Source organism: Homo sapiens, chromosome 10 (assembly GCF_000001405.40).
Source record: "Homo sapiens chromosome 10, GRCh38.p14 Primary Assembly".
Lineage (NCBI taxonomy): Eukaryota > Metazoa > Chordata > Mammalia > Primates > Hominidae > Homo > Homo sapiens.
Window position 1 is genome coordinate 43,934,132 of NC_000010.11, and position 24,247 is coordinate 43,958,378.

Genomic DNA, 24,247 nt, shown 5'->3' on the forward strand with positions numbered 1-24,247 from the left:
GAGTGACCGGCTGGCTCTAGCATTCATTCCCTCTGGTTCCTGCACTTGCTTGCTCATGTGCTCCCTCTCTCAAGGAGTGGCCAACAGCTGGCTGAGTGAAACAAGCCACTCCAGTTCCTGCCCACAAAGGGGCTCAAGGGAACTATCCTGTCTCACTAGCTCCAAATATAGTCACACTGGGGGTTAAGGCTTCAACATATAAATTTGCGGAGGAGGATAAAATTCAATCCATAACATTTGCAAAATCTCTATAAACTTAAAAGCATTTTACAAAGTATGTTCTCTGACTCCAATATATTAAATTAGAAATCAATTTTTGAAAACCTCTGGAAAATTCTCAAATATTTGAAAACTGAGTAAAACAGTTCAACATAAACCATGAGCAAAAATGAAAACTACATTAAAATGAACTTCTAAAGTGTTTTGAACTACCTGAAAAAGAAAATAGTACATATCAATATTTGTGGTAAGCAGCTAAAGCAGTTCCTAGGGGAAAGTTATAGCACTATAATTCTATTATAGAAAAGAATGTCTCAAATCAATGACAACAGCATCTACCTTAAATTAGGGATGGCAGAACAAGTTAAACACAAGTTAAATAAAAGAAAGAAAATAATAAAGATCAGAATAGGAATCAATGAAATCTATAACAGAAGTAAAATAGATAAACTTAAATAAATTAATAGTTGCTTCTTTGACAAGATTAACAAAATTGATAAACCTTATTGCATGCCGATTAGAAAAGAAATTACTAATATTAGAAATGAGAGAGGATCCCTTCTCGGAGTTTTGGCTAGGATCAAGTATAGGAATGAGAGAGGTGACATCACTACAGATTCTACAGATGTTGAAAATAAAATAAAGAAATATTTTAAACAACTTTGTGCCAATAAATCAACAATTTATATAAAATGGACAAAGCCCTTGAAAGATACAAACTACCAATGCTCAGTCAAGTAGAGATAGCTCTACTTGATAGATAGCTCTATATCAAACAAATAATTAGTTGTTAAAACCTTCCCACAACAAACCTCCAGGCCCATATGACTCTGCTGGCAATTCTTCTAAACATTTAAGAAAGAAATAATATGAGTCCTACAGACATTATTCCAGAAATTTGGAGAGGAGTGAATATGTTCCAACTCAATCTATAAGGCCAATTTTATCCTGATACTAAAATCAAAGCCTTAACTGAAAAAGAACATTGCAGACCAATATCATTTATGAACATAGATGCTGTATTAGTTCCCTCAGGCTACCATAAGAAAATATCACAGACCAGCTGTCTTAAACAACAGAACTTTATTTTCTCACAGTTTTGGAGGTTGGAAGATGAGATCAAGGTGCCAGCAGGCTGCTGGTGGGTCCTCTCTCCTGGGCTTGCAGAAGGCTGTCTTCTTGCATGTCCTCACATGGCCTTTCCTCATGCACATTCACTCCTGGTATTTCTCCCTCTTCTTATAAGGACACCAGTCTTATTGGATTAAGATCCCATCCTTATGACCTCATTTAACTTTAATTACCTCATTAAATGCCCTATCTCTCGATATAGTCACATTGGGGGTTAAGGCTTCAACATATAAATTTGGGGGATAGAATTCAATCCATCGTAGAGGGAAACACTCTTAAAAACATTTTTTTTAGCAAACCGAATTCAATAATATAAAAAATGAATCACCACCGAGTAGTTGTATTGCAGGGATTCAATGATGATTTAACATTTGAAAATCAGTCAGTGCATTTCACCACATTAGGAAATTGAAAACGAAAAAAAAAACCCCACCTATCATCTCAACAAACACAGAAAAAGTATTTGACAAAACTCATCACGTATTCCTGATAAAAACTCTCAGAAAACTAGGAATAGAGAAAAAGTTTCCTGATCTGACAGAAGGCAGTTAGGAAAAAACTCTGTAGTTAATGTTCCTACTTCAGGCTGACAGACCGAATCCTTCCCATTATGATCAGAAACAGAACAAGGTGTCTGTCTTTACCTTTTCTAGTCAACAGATACTGGGTGTTCCTGTCAGGGCAATTAGGCAAGAAAGAGAAAAAAGTCACTGAGAGTGGAAAGGAAGAATTAAAGTTATTTTTACTCACAGATGGCATAATAGTCCATGAAGATGTGATGGATTCCACAAAACCTCGTAGAAGACATAACAGAGAATATACTTCAGTAAGGAGACTTTGAAATCAGAAGGTAGATTTCCCAATAAAAAGAAGTTCACAGGAAAAAAAGTAAACTTTTCGGCCATTTAAAAAATGCTAAGACTGACGATTTTTGTTTTTTGAAGATTTATTTTTATTTTTATTTTTGAGACAGAGTCTTGCTCTGTTGCCCAGTCTGGAATGCAGTGGCGCAATCTCGGCTCACTGCAACCTCTGCTTTTTGGGTTCAAACAATTCTCCTGCCTCAGCCTCCTGAGTAGCTGGGACTACAGTCATGCACCACCACACATGGCTACTTTTTGTGTGTGTGTGTGTGTGTGTGTTTTTAGTGGAGACAGAATTTCACCATGTTGACCAGGCTGGTCTTGAACTCCTGACCTCAGGTGATCCACCCACCTTGGTCTCCCAAAGTAGAACTAAACCATTAGGCAATATGATCAGTTGGCAGATGGGCGGAGATGTACTTAGGATAAAAAACATTCTGAAATTCTTGTTGTCTGGGAAGAAATTAAAATATTAACTTTACACTTTTTAAAGTCTAGTATGCACATTGAAATGTAATGGTAGCTAATAAAAATAACAGGAATAGAATGTGTAATTCTAAACCAACAGAGAGCAAGGGAGGAGGATGAATTAAACCTGCATAAATACAATGACAAGTAAAAAAGAAGAAATAAAGAAAGAAAAGGTACAATAAATTCAAGACGAAAGATAGAATGACAAAATAGGCCCAAATATATAAACATTTACAATAAAGTTAGTGATTGTTTCTAGAGAAAAACAACTTTTTCCAAATTAGATTTTAAAATCTAATTATATTACATTTACAAGATGACCTAAACCTAAAGCCTAGAATGAAAGAGAAGTATATTTACATCAAAATTATTAATAAATAAAGCAATACTCATATTAGGCACAATATATTTTTAAGCCTGAAAGCAAGGAATAAAAAGGATAATTACTCAAAAGAAAAAGAAAATATTGATTAGGAAGGCAAAATAGTAAAATAATGTGTATTATTTCTCCAAACCAAAAAACATAGCATCAAATAGGTAAAATGGAATCTGATCAAATTTGGCCAAATTCGCACAGGGATTGATAAACCTGTAATACGCTGGGAGATCCTCATGGACCTCTGTCATAATTGTTGAGCTAAATTAACTGAATAAGTTTAATCTAATAGCTATACAGAGAGAGTGCTGCATCAAACCAGGAAACAGTCACGATTTTCGACCACTTGGAAAATGTATAATGATAGAACTCTCTGCAAATACCAATGCATCATTATCATATAGACCATATTTTCTGACCACAATGGAATAAAATTAGATATCAATAGGTAGAAGGCAAAAAAGCCCTAAACAAACATCAAAACAACAACAAAACATAGCAAACTAAAAAGACTCCTTTAAAAATTTTATGGGTCCAAATAAGTTATTATGAATATTACCAAAGATTTAGAATTTTGTAGTAATATAAGTATTGCCTATCAAAAGCCATGGAGTAGAGCTAGAGCCATACTTAGGGGAATACCAGTAGCTTTAAGTGTATATATTGTTATTTAAAAAAGTTAACACAAGAAAAATGGAATAATCCCAAAATAAGAAAAAAATAAATAATTAAAAGAAAACGTTAATGAAGTTGTGTGTATTACACACACAATTACACACACACCACATATACATTTAAATCAAAAGCTAGGTTTTGAAAAGATAGGTTGTAGAATGGTACATTCTACCAACAAGCTTAATGAAGCAAGGAGAGAAAGCACAGATCACCAATATTAGAAGGAGAGAAGGAGGAGGAGTGTTGAGGTTGGAACAGGCTGGGGAAGGTCAGATTTTGATTAACTTGTACAGTGTGTCAAAGATTTGGGGCTTCATTTCAGAGCAGTGGGAAACCTCGAAAGTTTTTAAGTAGATAGTAAATATATGGATGGGGGAGGGGATGGTGGATTGGGAAGGAGTGAGTTGGACTAGGTAGGAGACACCAGTTACAGAGAGGACTGCAGAAGCCCAAGCAAAAAATGATGGCGGTATTCATAAGGGAAGAAGCAGACAAAATGAAGACCTAGGAGACTCAACAGAGATGTGGATTGTAGAGCAAATGGGATTCAGTGTTTGAGAGTGCATCAGTTAGGTCTAATCAGGAGACAGAAGCCACGCAATAATTTGGACTGAAAAATTTTAACATAAAGAATTCTTGCTGGGCGTGATGGCTCATGCCTGTAATCCCAGCACTTCGGGAGGCCAAGGCGGGTGGATCACCTGAGATCAGGAATTTGACACCTGCCTAGTCAGTATGGTGAAACCCCGACTCTACTAAAAACACAAAAAATTAGCCGGTATGGTGGCGTGCACTTGTAATGCCAGCTACTCAGGAGGCTGAAGCATGAGAATCCCCGAACCTGGAAGGCGGAGGTTGCAGTGAGCCGAGATGGTGCCGTTGCACTGCAGCCTGGGTGACAAAAGTGAAACTCCATCTCAAAAACAAAACAATTCTTAACTGTAATGTGGGAGTAACTATAAAGGACAAAAACTAACTTTAAAGAATACTCTGGGGATGAGGAAAAATACCCAAGGAGGATGGAAACTTGGAGGGCCCCTCACCAAGGCTGGGATTCTGACCCGGTCGGAGAGGGTGTGGCTACTGCCCATTACACGTCACAAAGGAGGTGGCCAGGCGTTGCTGGGCTGCCCAACACTATGAACTGCACAAAGATGGCGCTCCCCATAAGTGAGGCTGGGCAGAGCCCCGCTGTGCACCCCCATCTCCACCTCCGCATGTCATTTCTGAAGCCTCGCCACTCAGTAGTAGGAGGAATAGGCCAGTACCAGCAAGAGAGCCCCTTTCTGCTGCTGCATCCCTCCAGTGTCCTCTATTGACAGTTGAACCTGGTGGCAGTTGCAGATGAGAAATGCTTACAGCTCATTTTTTTGCTGAGCAAGAAATGAGAGATGAGTTTAGAGCTGAGAGGCATTCAACTGCTACCAGATGGGATGCAGGGAACCCATGACTCCCAGGAAATTGGCCAAGTCCCTGAGAGGACAGTTGGTGGCATTCTCGGAGACAGGACCCTTGAGGAAAAACTCTAGAGCAAAGCAGAGGAACGGTGTCAGCATTTTGAAAATGCTGAGCTGAATGACACTGAGAAATGCCCAGTGCAATGATAAACGGGCAGATAGTTTCTCAGGGGCCTGGGGCCTGGATGGGGGCTGGGCTGGAGTGAGAGAGAGGCAGGTCTCCAGCTGTGCTATGCACACCTCAGGTTGAAGATGCTACATAGGTAAAAGCGCTGATGGTTCAGCATGATTAACAAGGTATTGGGGACTACATTTAGACTGAGGCTGGTATTTTGCATTGCAATGGACAAAAATATCGCTGTCACAGCTGACTTGGGGCTCATTCATTGCACATGCAGTGAAGGCAGCTGTGTGGCGGTGGGGCCACAGGGCAGGTAGCATGGATGGAGAGAGGATTCTGAATAACTTTGACTCCGCAGGTTTTTCATAAGGAAGGGCTGAACAAAAGCAGCCAAGGGGGCCAGAGAAAGAGAAAGTAGAGAGTGTGAGATTAGAGGAGATGGGCAAGTTCTAGTGAAGATGCAATGGCCCATAGTGTCACAGAAGACAAAGACTGCAAAGAGGCCCTTAGCGTCAGTGACCCAGAGGCCTGTGCTGAGGCCTGCGCTGACTTGTGGCTGGTAAAGTTTCAGTGGAGGTGGAGGCAGAGATTACTGTGGGCCAAGGAATGGGGGCAGGAGAGGAAACAGCTGGTGACAATCTGTGGTCACATTTGCCTGTGAATGAGAGGAGAAAGGATGAGAGTAACTGTGGAGAGGTGTGAGGCTGAGGCAGGGTTTTACTTTTACTGGGAGAAGGAGCATATTGATGGTGATGAGATTGCGAAGGGTGGCAGATGGAGGTTACATACTGTCATGAGTGTGAGCGAGGGAGAGAAGACTGCAAGGGGCTTGCCCAGAGCCGGCAGTCAGGGATGGCTTAGCACGTTTGCTCACCAGCTGGGAGGCCTATAAATGTCATTTGGATGCCTTCCAGGGATTAGCCAGGGGACACAGATGGATTTAGTAAGGATGATAACAGATAGTTCTCTTTTTAAGCAAGGTCACATGGTAGTGCATGGTGTGTGTGTGGTGTGCATGTGTGTGTGTGCTGTGCACGTGTGTGTGTGTGTTAATAGCTACCAGAGCCCAGGTTTCAAACTGAAATCACTTGCAAAAGGGTGAATATGGCTGTGGGGGCTGGAATCAGAGAATGAAAGGCTAAACACTGGCCACGACCTTCAGTTCTGGCCTGTGAGCAATAAGAAGACATCATTAGCATAGTCTGACTTTCTCTTTTTTTATTTCTATCTGCGGTGATTTCTCAACATGTCTTCCAATGGGCCGCTGTGAATTTCAGCATCAGTCACCAGCTTCTACTTGCACATGAAATGCATAGTCCCCACTCCCAGCTTTTCAGAGTGCCACACATCTGGAAGCAGCCTCCTGATGCTCCCAGCTCCTTTTGGGTTGTGGATTTGTTTATTTTGCATTTATAGTTTTGCCAAGTTTTTGGCAAATTTTTTGTTGATTTACATTTAACTTTATCAGTCTGTTCAGGGTTTCCTTCCCTAGCTTGTTCTCAGATGTGGCCAAGCATCACTCTTCACCAGGAGGTGAGTGGTTCTCTCCTGGCTGTGGGAACGTGAGCAAGGTTGTGCTACCTCCCTTCACCCGAGGCTCACATCCTCTCCTGCAGTGTGGGATGTCTGGACAGTGGCTCTCCTCCCTCCAGAATCCCTCAGGGGGAGACAATAAAGGATGTGTGAAGATATTGTGCTTACAAAGCCATGCACACATCAGGTTGAAGATGTTGTATAGGTAAAAGTGCTGATCATTCAGCTAAATGCAGCAGGACTGCATTTAGACTGCAGCTGGTATTTTGCATTGCAATGGACAAAAATATTGTGGTCACAGCTGACTTGGGGCTCATTCATTGCATTGTATTTTGTATAAAAGTGTATGAGCCAGAGTGAAGCAGGATGCTGAGGTCCTGCCTTTCTGGGCATCTCTGGGAGGCAAACCACACTGTTGGGCTTCCAGGTGTCTGGGTAAGATTGTCCTGCAGCCTACCCCTCCATTCCAGGAAGCTTCCTAATGTTTGGTTTCCAGAAGAGACCAAAAGTCAACTGACTTTAGGAGCCCCAGCCCTGCTGCCTGCCCCACTGGAGCACTTAGCCAGATCTTGCATGTTTGTATTCCTCTGATAACATGTGGGAATCTGGCAGTACTAACTGGAGCGCACACTCCATTAATTAACTCAGCTCCTAGAAGGTGCCAGGGACTTTCCTAGGAGTTGGGGTGCAAAGATGGAGCAGATATGGCTCCTGCCCTTGAATGGCTCATGGTTCAGTGGGGAGATGGTCCACAAAGCATTGGAATAAGCAACCTGAGAGAGGCATGTGCACAGTGCCATGGACACACAGATGAAAGAGCAGTCGATTCTGAAACTGATGAGACAGAATGATGGCATGGGAAGGGAGCCAGGAAAGGCAGGCTGGGCCTGGAAGGATGACGAGAAGCTCATCATGTGGGGAAAAAATAGAGAAATGGCATTCCAGGTAAAGGTGAAAATGGGTAAAAATACAGACGTGGGACTAGGCACTGAGTGTGCAGAGAAGAGGTAGCATCCTATGAGATGGAGAAATGGAGGGATGGAGTGAGAGAGGCTGACAGAAATTAAAACCAAAGGGAGTGTTTGGTGCCCAGTTTGAAGAGAGCCTAATGGCCGAGTTCCCTCTTCAGCAGCGCAAGCTGTAGAAGGATTCTGAGCAGGGGAGTGACTGAGGGAAGGTGTGGATGCCAGAAAGTGAAACTGCGGGAAACAGAGTATGGCTGCAGGGCTCCTGGCTCACCTATTAGTGGGTGAGCTAACAGGGGCTGCAGGCACCATCACCATGGAGCTTCGTGAGGCCCTGCATTTCTGAAAGCTGCTCTGTTCTGCATCTTTCTGGGAGAACTCAGCATGCCTGGGAGAGCCCTGTGAGAGGCCCTGCAGTTCAGGGATGCTGCGTCTCCTGGCTGGAAGCTGAGACTTCCCCAGAGCAGTGCGTTTTAGCAGGGAGTGGCCTGGGCTAGACACGAGGGGCAGTGGGGACTCGAGTAGCCAGGGGTTCTGGCCATGCCCTCCTTAGCAACCCCAGGTGAGCGTGTGATTTAAGGAGAAGCATCTTCAGCTCATGGAAAGAATAAGGCTATCGCCTGTAAGACAGGAGCCAATTTCAAAGCTGCTTCCAAGTGCTGATTTCATCAGCTTCTCATAGAAGAGTGTTTGCTACAGACTCTTGTAACGAACTCAAATCAGCAGCAGCAGGGCAATCTCTTTTGGTGTGCACAAATTTTTCATAATTAAAGCAAGGCAAGGTCATGACCCTTTCCTGCCAAATGTTTCTTTTTGGATCCCTTCAGGCAGAAAGATCCTACTGTCTTCTATTTATGGTACTTCTGAACAAACTCAAAATGAAACTAAAAACTGATGGCCCTAAAGGGGACCCCGAGATACCAGGTGGCCCCACATCACAGAGGGTAGATTCTGAGTAGGGTCGGTTAGTGGCAGTTATGCGGGAAGCTCTACATGTTTGAAAATCAGTGTTCTGTGGAAAGGCTCTGTGACAACCATGTGCTAACAAGAGTATCAGTCAGCCCAAGTGCCACCCAACAGAGGGTGGCATCACCCCATGTCCTCCCATGGCCCAGTGCTACCGTGGTAGGGGAATGGGGATAAGTAACTGTTCTGTCATGAGACAGGTGATAACACGGACCTAGCTCCATTCTTAGTGAAGGAAAATTACCTTTCTATTTTTCCCATCAATATACACCACAACAAACAGAAGACACTAAAGTAAAAGAACCATCAACACAAGTGACATGTCATAGCAGGAGCTGACACAGCCTCACCAGCCCATGCTCGGCCAGACTAGGTATGCTGCTGAGTCTGGGTTGGGAGGCGGGTGTGGGGGTAGCCTTGTGGGGAAGCGTGGGTGGGGGGCATGAGGGTGGCTGGGTGGGGAAGCATGGGTTGGTGGAGTGGGGTGGCCATGGGGGTGGCTGAGTGGGGAGGTGGGGGTAGCCAGATGGAAAAGCATGGGTGGGGGACGTGGGGGTGGCTGGGTGGGGAAGTGTGGGTGGGGAAGTGAGGTGGTAGCCGAGCGGGGAAGAGGGGTGGAGGGTGTGGGAGTGGCCGGGTGGGGAAGCTCGGGGGAAGGTGTGGGGGAGTGGGGGGTGGGGAAGGTGGCAGGACCCGGGGAGGGAGCGAGCCCCCCCTGAGCTGAGCTGCCGCTCCCGACTCTGTGGAGCATGACAAGCTTTACTTGTGCGGAAGTGCTTTGAGTAAATTAAGTCCCAGTTAATCAAGAAGGTTCTGCTTGAATTATGGTGCCTTTGGAGGCACTTTCTTTAGGAAAGGACGCTGATTCTCTTTTTTCACCAGTCAGCATGATTTGGGCCCCGAGGTTCCCGGCAAGGGTGACAGCTTGTCCCCACTCCTGTCTGACAGGGAGCATCGGCCGCTTGTTCCATCCTGTGCTTGTCTGCCTGCCTCTCTGTCATGAGACGCATTCGAAGAGTCCTGGGCCCAAAAGCAACTCACAGTCCAGGAAGACGTCCAGGCCTTGGGTGACGCTCAGTCTCAGTAAATGGCCCTGGCTGGCAGGTGGTGGTGGGAGGGACCCAGGTTGGTCCCTGTGGCTGCCTTTGTGCTCCCTAAATCCCCTTGTCTAGGGTCAGCCTAGGGTCTGGCATGGGGCAGAGACAGGAGTGCCCTCATCTGCCAGGGAAATGCTCACTGGGGGAGGGAGCAGCCGGCCCCCCAGGCCACACTCCATGCCCCACCCTCTAAGCTGCAGAGTGCATGTACATCAATGGAACACAGAGGGAGGGTCCCAGGCTCCTGTCCACACTAAAATGCCCCTGGACCCCAACCCTTAACAGACGAGATCCTGTCTCATTAGAAAGCACATGTGACTTCTCTAGCAGCTCATTCCCACTTCCTTTGTCTTCAGTAAAGACGGAGAATGGTGGCCTCCTCCACAGGAATGGTGCTCATCATTAGCCATGACAAGCTTCAATGTTCAAAATGCCTTTGCAAAAGAAATACTGGACAAATTACACAGGGTTTCCAGCCACACACATTTGCTTCTCTATTTGTCTCAACATCTTGGCTCCTTCCTTAGAGATAAGCGTAGGAAACCCAGAGAGACACATAAATTATCTGGCTCTTTTATTACTCTGGTTCTCATAATAGGCTACATTGTGTGACCCGACCATATCTTTTCTAGGAAATTTATGTTGTGGCAGTAATAATTCCTCCTAACAGAAACAGCCCATAACAGGGTAGGTTTATTAGGAGAGTATTTATGGCTAATCAAGCTGCCACAGACACTCCTGGGGTGCCAGGGAGCAGATCCTGTGGGGCATGGTGGGCACTGGAGATAGCACATGTTTCTGAGGGCAGGAGACCCTCAACCCCCAGCAGCGTTGAAACAACAGGGTGAGACACTTCCCTTCTCTTGACCAAACTTTTGTCAGCTGGAAAGTGGACAGGTTGAATTAGGTGAACTTCATGCCCTGTGATTGTGAATCTGAGGGTGGAGGCCAGGCTGTGTGCACAGGGATGTGACATGGGTGAAGGATACCAGCACTCTGAGGCCTTAGCCCCCACCCACCAGTCGTGAAGGTGACAGATAGTTTAACCTAGTCCAGGAGACAAATCGGAAAGTCAAAGTAAGTTAGACGACCCAAAGCATCATGTTCAGTGTGTGTGTGTGTGTGTGTGTGTGTGTTTGTGTGTGTGTGCTCCCAGTGTCTGTCCCTGACCCACACTGAGAAAGCCATTAGGGAAAAACACACTAAGTGACCTAACAGGAGGCCATCTGTGAGCCAGAAAGTGCCCGTCATTCATCACCTCCTCTAAGTGTGTCTGCTTCCACTCTGGGGAGACTAACGACAGTCTTCCCACTCAGGGATCCTGTCCATCTCCCAGCCACAAATCCCTAGACAAATACAGCTGGGAAGAAATTATTCTCACAGTCAGCAGTGACACATCCATCTTGAAAACCATTTTAGCTTGGTTCTGCCCTCCCCCTTGCTGAGGTGCTGGGTCAGTCTGGACCCCAGGGAAGTCAACTCCAACTAACCTGGCCCTCCCCACCCCCTCATGTACCGGGAGAAGGAACTGCAGCCCTTGCTTTCTCAGTAGGTCGCCGCCTATGTCCAGTGACGTTCTGACTCCCCAGAGGAGACGGGGCTCATGCTGTCCCACCAGTTAGGAGCAGACAGGATTAAATGTGTGGCCATTTCAACCAAATCACAAATGGCGACTTACCTTTGGTCAGTAATGGCTTCACCACCATCACTGCAAAGATGCAGGCTTTGTACCACCCACGGGAAGGTTGTTCTAGGTGACTGTGGAATTATTTAAGATACAGTTCTGGCCCTGAAGGGGTTTGCTGCTGGAAACTTCCTGTTTGAGAGAAAAATATTGATAGAATTATTTATAGCTGTCAGTTCTAGGAGGTGCTCCTTGACTGGGTGAGAATAAGGATTGACGGGGACTGCATGGCAGGCTTGGCTATACTTGGCGGTCTGATACTGGTTCCCACTGTGTGATCTCTCTATTCTTATGTCCCTAATAGGAAGACAGCAAATTACTTTACCCTACAATTAAAGGATCAGACAGCCATTTGGAACAGTTGTGCTTACACTGACCACTACCAGCAGCCCAATCGCTCCTTTCATCAGAATGCACAGCTGGCCTTGTGCCACCAAGATCCCCTGCGGACAAGACCAGAAGTAAATCCCAATGTGTTTTCTCATAATTTTTTAATAACACTTTGAGGAGTAGAGTTAGATGTGCTTTTGAAAAAGAGTCTGTAGACACTTGAGAGGGTAATAAATGACATCCAGCCCTGCCCAGTAAATCTAGGGCAAAATCTCTCCGTAGGAAGTAAAAGTACAGGTGACCACACCCCAAGGAACTGGGTGATTGGAGCCTTTGTGTAGCACTGGGTGCTCCAAGGTTTTATGCATTCCAATCTGGTCCCTGTAACTAATGGTGATAATAACGGCAATATCGTTAGGTAGTTATCAGTTATCAAACCTATCAGATATTGTGCTAAACGCTTTATGCATGGGACCTACTTCAACACTTCCAACAACTCTATAAACAGATGCGAATTTCTCTAGACAGGCTCAGAGAAGTTCAGCCAGTTACTTGAGATGAAGCACCAGCAAGCCTCAGAACTGAGATCTGAATCCGCTGCTGAGTTCTGCGCTGTCTAGTATTCCACATCCGCCTGTTCAGTCCCACGCCCTCGAGGAGCGGGGTTCTCTAAGGCCAGGTTTCTAAATGCTGAGGTCTGCCTCTTCCTTCATCTTCCCGTTTAACCACATCATTTGTATCCAAAATCCCAGCATCACCCAGTATGCCCATTTAACATACCTGCACACGTACTCCCTGCCTCTAAAATAAAAGTTGAAATTATATAAAAATTTTAATACATATATTAAATTTTAAAAAAATAGTTTGGAAACCCCTGCATAAAATTGATAACTTGAAAGGGAACAATTTCAAGTAAAATTCTGAACTAGTAAAACAAAAAGGAAGAAATGAGGGATAGCAAGAAAATGTTCTTGTCTCCAACAATAAAAAAAAATCATATGAAAGAAAACTAATAAAGGCTTGGAACACGGATTCAAACTACTTATGTGGCCAGGGGGAAAACGATTAAAAATTTAAAGTAGACCTGGACAATAAGGGCCCAAGATACCTTGCAGAAACTAAGATAAATTTTCTTTGGGAAATTACCTCACAACGAAGACCTCAAGGAAATTCCATAGATAAAAGTTTCAATGAATATAATCTCAAAATCAAAGACATGATAAAACAAATGGAGTCATCAAAAATTAGAAACTAAAGTTAAGATACAAACATACTTGTGACATTGGAATTACCATATAAGAATATAAAATAATATCTCATAGGTTTAGAGAAATAAAAAGTGAAATAAAATTATGAGTAACATATAAAAGCTAATACACATCTCCACATCTTTAACAGCTTTATTGATATATAAACCATATGCCATACAGTTCACCCATTTAAAGTGTAGATTAAATGATTTGGTATATTCACAATTATGCAACCATCATCACAATCTAATTTTAGCACATTTTCGAGATCCCAAAAAGAAACCCTATAGCCATTATCAGTCACTCCTAATCTTTCTTAACCCGTAAGTGCTGGACATTATTAACTCTGTCTTCATAGATTTATCTCTCCTGGGATAATTTATGTGAATGAAAAATAGGTTATGTGGTCTTGGTCTTTTACTAGGCATAATGTTTTCAAGGTTCACTTATTTTATAGCATGTATCACTACTTTATTCTTTTTTATTGCCAAATAATATTCCATTCTGTGGATACACCACATTTTATTTATCCACTCAACAGTTGATGGACATTGGGACTGTTTTCTAGCTTTGACTATTATGAATAGTGCTGCTATGAACATTCATGTACAAGACTTTGTATTGCATGTTTTCATTTCTTTTGGATATATACCTAGAATTAGTATTGCTGGATCACATGGTAACTATATTTAACTATTTGAGGAACTATCAAAATTTTGCTGCACTATTTTACATTAGAATACATTGAGTAAATTCTTTATTCAGCAATCATTTTACATTAGAATACATTGAGTAATTTCTTTATTCAGCAATATGTGAGAATTTCAGTTTCTCCATTTCCTTACCAATGTTGTCTTTTTGATTATAACTATTCCAGCTGGTGCAAAGTGGCATCTCATTGTGGTTTTGATTTGTATTTCCCTATTGATTAATTATGTTGAGTACTTTTTCATGTGGCCACTTGCACATCTTCATTGTAGAAGATTCTATTTAGAACCTTTGTCCATTTTCGATTAGTCTTTTTATTATTGATTTGCAAGAGCATATTATATATTCTAGGTATAAGTCTCTTATCCAAATATATGATTTGCAAATATTTTCTCTCATTCTGCAGTCATCTTTTCACATTTTTAGTCATGTCCATTGAAGAGCAAAGGTTTTTTAATATTGATGAAGTCCAATTTATCTATTTTACTTTTTCACTTGTGCTTTTGGTGTCATAATTAAGATACCATTGCTTAACCCATGATTATGAAGATTTGCTCCTAAGTTTTCTTCTAAGAGTTTTGTAATTTTTAGCTCTTACATTTACATTTATGATCATTTTGGGTTTTTTTTTTTTTTTGGTATGGTGTAAAGTAGGGTCTCAGTTTCATTCTTTTGCATTGAATATCCAGTTGTCTGATACTTGTTGTCAGCATTTATGTGATAGTTGTCACCATCTGTTGAAAAGACTAATCTTTCCCTCATTAAATTGTCTTGCTTCCCTTGTTGAAAATTAATTGACCATAAATGTAGGGGCTTATTTTTGGACTCCAGATCTATTCCATTGATCTGTCCTTATAGGAGTACTACATTGACTTGATTACTGTAGTGTTGTAGTAAGCCTCGAAATCAACAAGTATGAGTCTTCCATGTTTATTTTTCTTTTTCAAGATTATTTTAGCTTTTCCAGGTCACTGCCATTTCCATGCAGATTTCAGGATTAGCTTATCATTTCTAGAAAAAAGCCAGCAGGTATTTTGATAGAGATAGCCTTGAATCTGTGGGTGACAGGTTCAGTATTCTAAACCAATATTAACTAATATTGGTTAATATTGACTTATATATTGGTTAATATTGGCTTAATATTGATAATATGACAATACTAATTAATACAATTAAGCAATATTAATCTGAGGCATTTCTCAATTTATTTTTGTCTTCTGTTTCTTTCAGTAATGTTTTGTAGATTTCAAGTTCAAAATGTGCACTTCTTTTGTTTGCTTTATTCCTGAGTATTTTATTTATGTTAATGTTATTCTAGATGGAATAATTTTTAAAAATTTCATTTTTGTGTGGCTCAATGTTTGCATATATTGTATTCTGCAAATTTGATCAACTTGTCTATTAGATCTAATCGTTTTGAGTGTATTCTTTAGAATTTTCCATATACAAGATATGTCATCTGTAAGTAGAGAAAGCTTCGCTTCTTTTATTTCAATGTGACCTTCCTTCCTTCCTTCCTTCCTTCCTTTTCCTTTCTTTCTTTGCCTCATCGTCTTGGCAGGAATCCAGTACAATGCTGAATAGAAGTGGTCGGAATGCACATCTCTGTCTTGTTTCCTGAACTTATGATAAAAGCATTCAGTTTCTCATCATTAATTGTGAAGTTGGTTGTGAGTTTTTCATAGATGATTTTTATCAGGTTGAGAAAATTCCCTGTTTTTCTAATTTATTGAGTCTTTTTATTACAAAAAAATTTTGAGTTTTTCAAGTGCTTTTTCTCTATTTATTAAGATAATCACATGCTTTTGTTTTTATTAATATGAATTACTATTTGAATTGATTTTCAGATGCTAAACAAATCTTAGATTCCTTGAATAAATACTAATTAGTCATGGTGTATGATTCTTTTTATATATTTTCTGGATTTGGTTTGCTATTATTTTGTAGAGGATTTTTATATGTATATTTGCAAGTGCTTTGTCTATAGTCTTCTTGTTGTGTGTGATGTTTTTGTATGGTTTTGGTGTCAAGGTAATACTGGACTTGTAAAATATATTGGAGTGTTTCCTTCTTTTCTATTTGTTTGGGAAGAGTTTGTGAAGGATTGGTGTTGATTCTTCATTAAATGTTTGATAGAATTCACCTTTGAGGCTATCTGAGCTTTAGCTTTTCTTTGTGAATAGTTTTGAATTACTAATTCAGTATCTTTACTTTTATAGGTCTATTCAGATTTTATTTTTATTTTTCAGTTTTTATTTTAGAATCAGGGGTACATGTGCAGGTTTGTTACAAAGGTACATTGTGTGACACTGAGGTTCGAAGTGTGATTGAACCCGTCACCCAGGCAGTGAGCATAGTACCCAATAGGTAGTTTTTCCGCCCTTCCCTCTTCCCTTTTCTCTCCTCTCCAGTAGTCCCAAGTGTTTATTCTTCCCATCTATATGGGAAGAAGTTTAGCTACTACTGCTAAGTGAGAACATGCAGTATTTGGTTTTCTGTTTCTGCATTAGTTCACTTAGGATTATGACCTTCAGCTGGATTCATGTTGCTGCACAAGACACGATTTCATTCTTTTTATGGCTGTGTAGTATTCCATGGTGTACATGTACCACATTTCAAAAATCCAATCCACCATTGATGGGTGCCTGAGTTGATTCCATGTTTTTGCCATTGTGACTATTCATATTTTTTATTTCTTCTTGAGTCAGTCCTAGTAGTTAGTGTGTTTCTAGGTATTTGTCCATTTTATCTAGGTTATTTAATTTGTTGCCATACAATTGTACATAGAATTCTTCTATAATCTCTTTTATTTCTCCAATAGTAGTGATGCCCTCTATTATTTTTGATTTTGATAATTTGAATCTTCTCTTATTTATTGGTCAGTCTAACAAAAAGTTTATCAACTTTTGGGTTTAGTGATTTTTCTTGTTTATTCTTCTATTCTCTATTTTATTTATTTCTTTTCTAATGCTTTTATTTCCTTCCTTCTGTTTTCTTTTGGGTTTAGTTTATCTTCTTTTCTAGTTTCTAAGATGGAATGTTAGTTTAATGATTCGAGAACAGTGAATCCTAACCACTAGACCACCAGGGATGCTTGGTTAATAATGGTTTGAGATCTTTCTTCTTTTCAATTTATAAGCATTTAGAGCTATAAATCCCCCTTTCTTCCAAGTACTGCTTCAGCTGCAACCCAGAAGTTTTTCTATGTTGTGTTTTTATTTTCATTTTCATTTATTTCAGGTATTTTTAAATTTCCCATGTGATTTCTCCTTTAAGCTATTGGTTATTTAATAATATGTAATTTCCACATATTTGTGAATTTCTTAAATTTCTTTACTTTTATTGATTTCCTATATCATTGTGATTAGAAAAATACGTTGTGTAGATTTAAATTTCTTTACATTTATTGATCCTTGCTTAGGGTGTAGCAAATCCTGAAGAATGTTCCATGTGCCCTCGAGAAGAATGTGTATTCTGTTATTGTTGGGTGGATTGTTCTATAGATGTCTCTCAAGTCTAGTTGGTTTGTAGTGATTTCTAGTCTTCTATATGCTTTTTGATCTGTCTAGTTCTCCTATCTTTACTGAAAATGAGGTATGAAAGTCTCCAGCTGATGTTATCAAATTGTCACTGTCTTCCTTCAGTTCTGTCAGTTTTTGATTCATCTATGTTGTGGCTCTGTTGTTAGGTGCCTGTGCTTATAATTGTTACAGTATCCTAATGGATTGATCTTATTTATCATGATAGAATTTCTCTCTTATCTCTAGTAATTGTTTTTTTTTTTGCCTTAAGGTCTGTATTGTCTGATATTTGTATAGTCATTCCAGCTCTCTTATTGTTGCTATTTGTATGACATGACTTTCTACATTCCTTCACTTTCAACTTGTTTGTGTCTTTGAATCTAAAGTGTCTCCTGCAGGATTTTGTGGATCCTGTGGATTTTGTTTGGCATCTGGTCTTAAAATATCTGCCTTTTGATTGGATTGTTTAAAGTATTTCCATTTAATGTTATTATTGATATAGTTGAATTTATGCCTGCCATTTTACTTTTTGTTTTTTATGTCTCGTTTCTTTTCCTCTTCCTCTGTTCCTCCAAAATGAATATTTTCTACTTAATATTTTAATTCCTTTAATAAGTTTTTAAGCTACTTTTGAATTATTTTCTTAGTGGTCGTTCTGGTGCTTACAATATGCATCTTAACTTATCCAATCTAATTTAGATTTAAATTAATTTAATTTCAGTAAGATATAGAAACTTTACTTCTATATGGCTTTTTCCCTTCCTCCTGTCATTTATTATTGTTGTATATATTATAACATCTATATAAGTTATTAATAGAAACATAAGGATTCATTGTTATATTTATTATTTTACATATTTTTTTTTGTTTTAAAGAAGCTGAGAAAAGAAAACAAAGCAAGTATATATTTACAGAGTTTCTTAATTGTCATTTCTGGTTCTTTTCATTTCTTCCTGTGGATCTGAGTTACTAGCTGGTGTCATCTCCTTTCCCATACAACCTTTTCTCCATTGATCTCTTTCGTTTTGGTATTTTCAAATACACTATATTTCTATGTGTTATAGACCCAATGACACAATTATATACCTTTTTTATGTAATTGTTTTTTAAAAAATATACTTAGAGAAGAAAGGAGAAAAATCTGCAGTTATACTGCCTTTTATAATTATCTACATAATTACCTTTACTGGCAGTGTTTGTTTTATTGTGTGGATTTGAAATACTTCCTGAAGTTATCTGCTGTTAGCCTGAGAGATTCCTTTAGGATTTCTCTCAAGGAAGACCTTCTAACATTGAATAATCTCATTTTTTATTAATTTAGGATTTTCTTTACTTAGCCTTCATTTGTGAAAGTGTTTTCCTGGTTGTAAGGTTCTTGACTGACAATTCTTTTTCTTTCTGTATTTTTGAATCCCACTACCTCTGGCCTCCATTGTTTCTGAGGAGAGGTCAGCTGTTAGCCTTCTTGGGGTTCCCTTGCATGTGATGAGTCACTTTTCTTGTTCTGTGTTCAAGGTTTTCTCTTTGCTTTTGCCTTTCGACTAGTTCAGTGATGTCTATTTCCCTGCAGTGTGGAGCCTCTGATGTCTCTGCTCTGAGGGTGCAGCCTTGAGAAGGCAAACAGTCTCCCTGGCCAGCATAGATCTGTGAGATCTGTGGTTTAGTTGGGTGCACTTTGACTCTCTTTCCGTGATCTGCCTGTTTTAAGCTTCTGGCTGGTCTGCCTCTATTCATGTCTCACACAGATATTAGCCTCCAGTAATTGCTATTTTCTCTATATTGTTTTAAAAAATACCTTGGTGTATAATGCTTCATAGTTTAATTCAATTAAAGCCATGTCTTTTTGCAGGGCAAGGTGTTCCCATCTTCATGTCTTGCACTGACCCAAGGAGGGCTCTTCTTAGCAGTTTCTTTCCCTGGTTCCTCTGTCAAACTTCTAGCTGGTATACCATCTTGCTTGTTTCTACTACTGTCATGGATAGACAGCTTCCTCTTACTCATCACCAAGATCTCCGTTGCTTTTAACAATGCCCTCAGACATTTTTCTGTCAAACTATATGACAAATAATGTCCATTCCTTTAAGGAGAGTTGAGGGTCTTCCTGTTCTTAAAACTCCCTTCTCCTTTTGGGCAGAATCTCTATGCCACAAAAAACAGAGCTGAGGGTGGTGACAGTGGCCCTTTTCTCTTGGAGAGATATCCTTGCTCTATGAGTGAGGTCTTCTCCTCTTGCCTCTCCTGGCATTGAGCTGCCACCCTGCAAGTGAGCTGGGGCAGGGGTGATCAGTCCCATGTTCTTAGCCTTATGAGTGGGGCCTGAGTACAGGAAGGGAGCCCTGGTCCTCTTAGGCACGCCTGCCTAGAATAAAGCTCGTGCAGCACAGAGCTGGGGAGGGCTGTGAGATTGGCTGACAACCTCCCATCCTGGCTGAAACTGTAGCTCTAGACTTGGATCTTGAGGGAGAAGAAGCCCCACCTTCTTGGCCACACCCACCTAGAGGAGAGCTTCTTTCCTGAGCCGAGGGTGGGCATGGGAGCTGGTTGTAACTCAGATGTCACAGACTTTCACTGTTATTACTAAGATTTAGTAGAATTTCTTGAACGAATGTTCCCTATCTACCATATGCCCTTAGGACAATTCCCAGAGACTTTAAATCATTGTTTTGTGAAATGTTCTCCAGTTAAAAGTTTGTTTTGCTGGGGAGAGGGTTTACTGAACTCCTCCCAACACCACTTTTCATGTCCCCATCTGCACCGCCCTATGATCCTTTTGAAGATGGAGCAAAATCTGCTCTCCTCTAATCTTTCAAAAACCATCACAACACAGTTCTACAACTGAATGTTATGAAAGTTTATTCTCCCACATAATATGGTCCTAGAACTTTTTAGCTTGGATTTTCTAGCTTTTCATTTTCTTTGCTTGCCTTTGGCCAGTCAGCCATTTCTGCTTTATTTTTTTGGCAGCCTGTGTGTCTGTAGTTACTGTCTTTCATGCTTTCTACTTTTCTGATTCAAGGCTGACTGGAAGATTATCAGAACTGTGGGACAATTACAGTAAAACCATTCTGACTGAAAGCCTAGAGAATTCTTCAACAAACCAAGTGCTGGTGCTTTGAGTCATGCCATTCCATGAAGACTATTGAGAGCCCCTGTGGAGTCCTGCTTATTTTGGTGTTGATGGCCTTCCAGAAAGGGGGCTCATGGGGAGCTGACGGGCGCTACACAAGGGACCTTGCAGGCTGCTCCCAGCATCAGCAGTGATGATTGAGCCAGGGAGTCAAGAGACTTGTGAGAGTGTCACTATTTTAGCATAGAAAGGGAACACCTTACCAGGGTTGCTTACAGGGACTGATAGCCAGTCCTGAGGTAAGGCAGGAAGAAGGCCAGAATTTTCACGTAACACAAAGAGACCAGCACTGGCCTTGCAGCTAGTCCCACCCAAGGCTTAGAGTGTCCTGATTCTTATAATGGAGCTGTTGCATTTTCTCTGCCTCTGAAGATTGCCATGGAAGACTGCTGCTCAGAGCATCTATGCCCTGGAGTGGTATTTCACCTTTGCTGTGTCCTTGTGAGAGATTTGCATACACAGCAACCCCCAGCTGGACTAGGCCCCTCAATGACAAGCCTTCCTAATGCTCACTGCCAGCTGTCCAACTGCCTATGGCTCTGGCTCCTATCTGTGCCTGGTGTCCTTTCTGCAGGGTCCCGTCTGTTTTCTGTGCTGTACCAGCTTGCTGTGACCGTCTCCTGTGGTCTTGCATATGTCCCTTGCTACAGCTGGTCTGTTGGTCAGTGAACATGCAACCTCAGTTGGAAGGTATGTTTTAAGCCCTGGACTCTCCCAACCTACTCGGCCAATGTGCAACCCAGCTGCAGGTAATGGAGACCTAGTAGAAACAATCAGTGCTTCTCAAACTCCAGCAGGCATCAGAATCACCTGGGGGTGTGGAGCTGTCTTTAATACACAGATTGCAGAGCTCTGACCCCAGGGTTTCTGATTCAGTAGGTCTGAGGTGGGGCCAGGAATCTGCGTTTCTAAGAACTTGCTAAATAGTACTGATTGCTGCTGGTTCAGGAACCGCACTTTGGCAACCACTCATCTAGAAGGCAATACCCTTAAAATGGTTCTAGTTGTTGTCCCTGGGGAGATTACTGAAACTGATTTTTAATGTTTTCCCACAGTTTTAAGTTTGTATTTCCAGTTTTTATAATTAAAGAAATAATAAAAGGTAATAGGAAAAAACACAAATACCTATGCCTTCAAATGCATGTCCTCAAGTTCTCCATTCAGGTGCTTGACTCCAGCCCCTGGGCCTTCTTCCTTTTCCTTGAGGAAAATGTGCTTGTTCTTCTTCAGGGCCACTGATGAAGCTGTTCTGTGCCTGCAGAGGACCCCCCAGGAGGCCCTGCCATTCCCATCAAAGGTTACACCCTCGGAGAGAGTGCTCCTAACGTGTGCCACTCTCTACCACCTGAGATGCTATTTTTTATAGCACTCTTCACAACCAGAGACAATCTTAGTTGTTTGTGTTTGGTGTGTTTTCTGTTCCTGACCTGCCCCTTCTTCCACCTCCCTGTCCTTAGCTCAGTCACCAGAGCATCAGCTCCACGTGTCTTCCCTGTTCATGCTGAGTCCCACGGGCCCAGGGCAGTGATGGTCACATAGCAGGTGCTCAGTAAAATATTTGTTGAGACTAACTGGAGATAAGAGAAGAAACAGTAGTTAAAAACAACAGGACCAGACTCCCCACTGTGCTTTCAGCCATCACAGGGGTGTGTGCTTTAATTTAGCTGGAGCAGCTCTCTAGGGAGGCACTGTACCTGAGCAGGGCATGGAGGAGGAGGGCATGGCAGAGAAGGAGCTGTCAGAGCTCGGGGACTGAGGGGACAGTGGACAGAGTGCTGCCCCACAGCACGGGGAGTTTCAGTGGGCTGCTCACACTGTCAGACAGAGCAGGGAGCTCCTGCACGCAATGGACAGAAAGTTCTATTTGCTTGCAGGTGGTTGTGTGTTTGCTAGGGCTGCGTAACAATGTCCCACAATCTGGGTGGCTTAAACAACAGAAATGTATTCTATCACAGTTCTGGAGGCCTGAAATCCAAAACCAAGATGTTGACAGGGGCACGCTGTCTCCAAAGCCTCCAGGGAAAAATCATTCCTTTCCTCTTCCAGCTTCTGGTAGCCCAGGGGCTCCTTGGCTTGTGGCAGCATCATACCAATCCCTGCAGCTACAGGGTGTCCCGTTCCTGTCTGTCTGCGACTGTATCTCTTCACCTCTTCCTGTGAGGATGCCAGTTGTTGGATTAGGGCATACCCTAATGACCTCATTTTAACTTGATTACATTGGCAGAGATCCTATTTCCAAATAAGGTCACATTCACATGTACCAGGAGTAGGACTTCAACCTATCTTTTTGGGGGACACAATTCAATCTAAACAGTGGTCTTTGTAGAGCAGTTTCCATGGGGTGGTGTTTCATCTGCCAGAGATCTGCACCAACAGGTTACATCTATCCAACTGAAGAATGTTGCACTCCACAGTCTCCAAAGGAAGAGTGGCCCACTGAAGCCCCCCAGGAAAGGTACCTAAGTCCAGGGCCCCTCAAAATAGGGAGTACTCTCACCCAGACCCCTAAAGGAGAAGTGTCTTACTCCAGAATCCTTCCAAGAACAATATCCACTGATGTACCCTAAAACTTAACATGATCTACATCCAGTTAGGGACCATTTTTTGATAGATTGGGAGGGCTGAGATTACCCTGATTTCAACTGTGCTAACAAGGCAAGCTTGACCTGTGTCTTTGCCTGGGTTTTAGAAAAAGAGGAGGCTTCACTGCTGTGTGATGTGGCACATCTTGTAAAAGCCAAGTCTTTCTATGTATGTGCTGGTGCAACCCTATGAGCAATGTACAATGATCCCTTATACAGAAGAGGAGACAAAGGATCAGAGCGGTGACAAAGACTTGTCAACAGTCACATGACTCAGTAGTAGTAAAGCCAGGCCTCATGGCTCTACTCCAATGATCTGTGCTTTGTAACATGAAGAGTCTGTGTTATTGGGGTGCAGTTACCATTGGTGAATCTTTAATCCATGCTTGGTCCTTTAAGACTGGAGGGCATCAGATGGGGGCTGAGGGGAATCCCTGGACAGTGAGCTTAGTGCAGAGGACCCTCCTATCTCACAGGGCCATCCTCTCACCTGCTCATTGTTATTAACGTTGGCTAAGCACAGACCAAGCATGGCAAGGAAGCTGTTTCTGTGGAGCCTGCAGCCCCCTAGGCTCTGATATTTGCATTCAGCATTGTGCATGGAGACTTCTGGGGGCAGCCAGCTAACCCAGATGGGAGGGCTTTTGCTTGAGGACGTGACCACAAAACCAGGTGCGGGAGGATTCTAGGAGCTCGGCACATCATGGAGGGAGGCCTGGGGTGGGCCAGTGAATGGGCTTCCTGGATTTAGACCATGGGGAGCAAGGAATGGTAGGATGAGCCCTGTGGTAATCAGAGGTGAGGCCACAGGGGGCCTTGATACCACACGAAGGAATGTGATGCTCTTCATTAAAGTCCTCAGGGATTGGGATCATCCAGGGAGCAAGAGAGATGGGTATCAGCCTTCTAGATGCCGCTGCACTGTGCAAGACAGGACCCTGCTCACTGCGCCTGCCTCCTGGGTCCTGGCATTGTTTAGTGCTGCCTTGGACCTCCCATCCTGAATGGAGAGGAGCAGCAGCTGTGCTTGGGCTGTGTCCTCTCACTGATGGGGTCAGACTATACCGGGGCCGTGAACCCGGTAGGATCCTGGCCTTTCTCCTAAGCCTGTGACCAGAAACACGCCCTGCCTGGCTGCTATCTCAGTACACTAGGGAGCAGGGAAGCTCTC

The 24,247-nt window shown here is 42.2% G+C and overlaps 1 long non-coding RNA gene across 2 annotated transcripts in view; it reads left to right on the plus strand.

The window, feature by feature from the left end:
- The window catches only part of LINC00841 (long intergenic non-protein coding RNA 841), a 71,970-nt gene that overhangs the window by 24,836 nt on the left and 22,887 nt on the right, over positions 1-24,247 (plus strand). The window contains exons 3-5 of one of the 2 annotated variants that reach the window (NR_033846.2): positions 9,064-9,150; positions 9,726-9,902; positions 11,863-12,019. This is a non-coding gene — a long non-coding RNA (long intergenic non-protein coding RNA 841). Of the gene's footprint in view, positions 1-9,060; positions 9,151-9,725; positions 9,903-11,862; positions 12,020-21,068; positions 21,185-24,247 lie in introns of both variants that reach the window. The other variant, NR_136147.1, reaches the window with a different exon arrangement.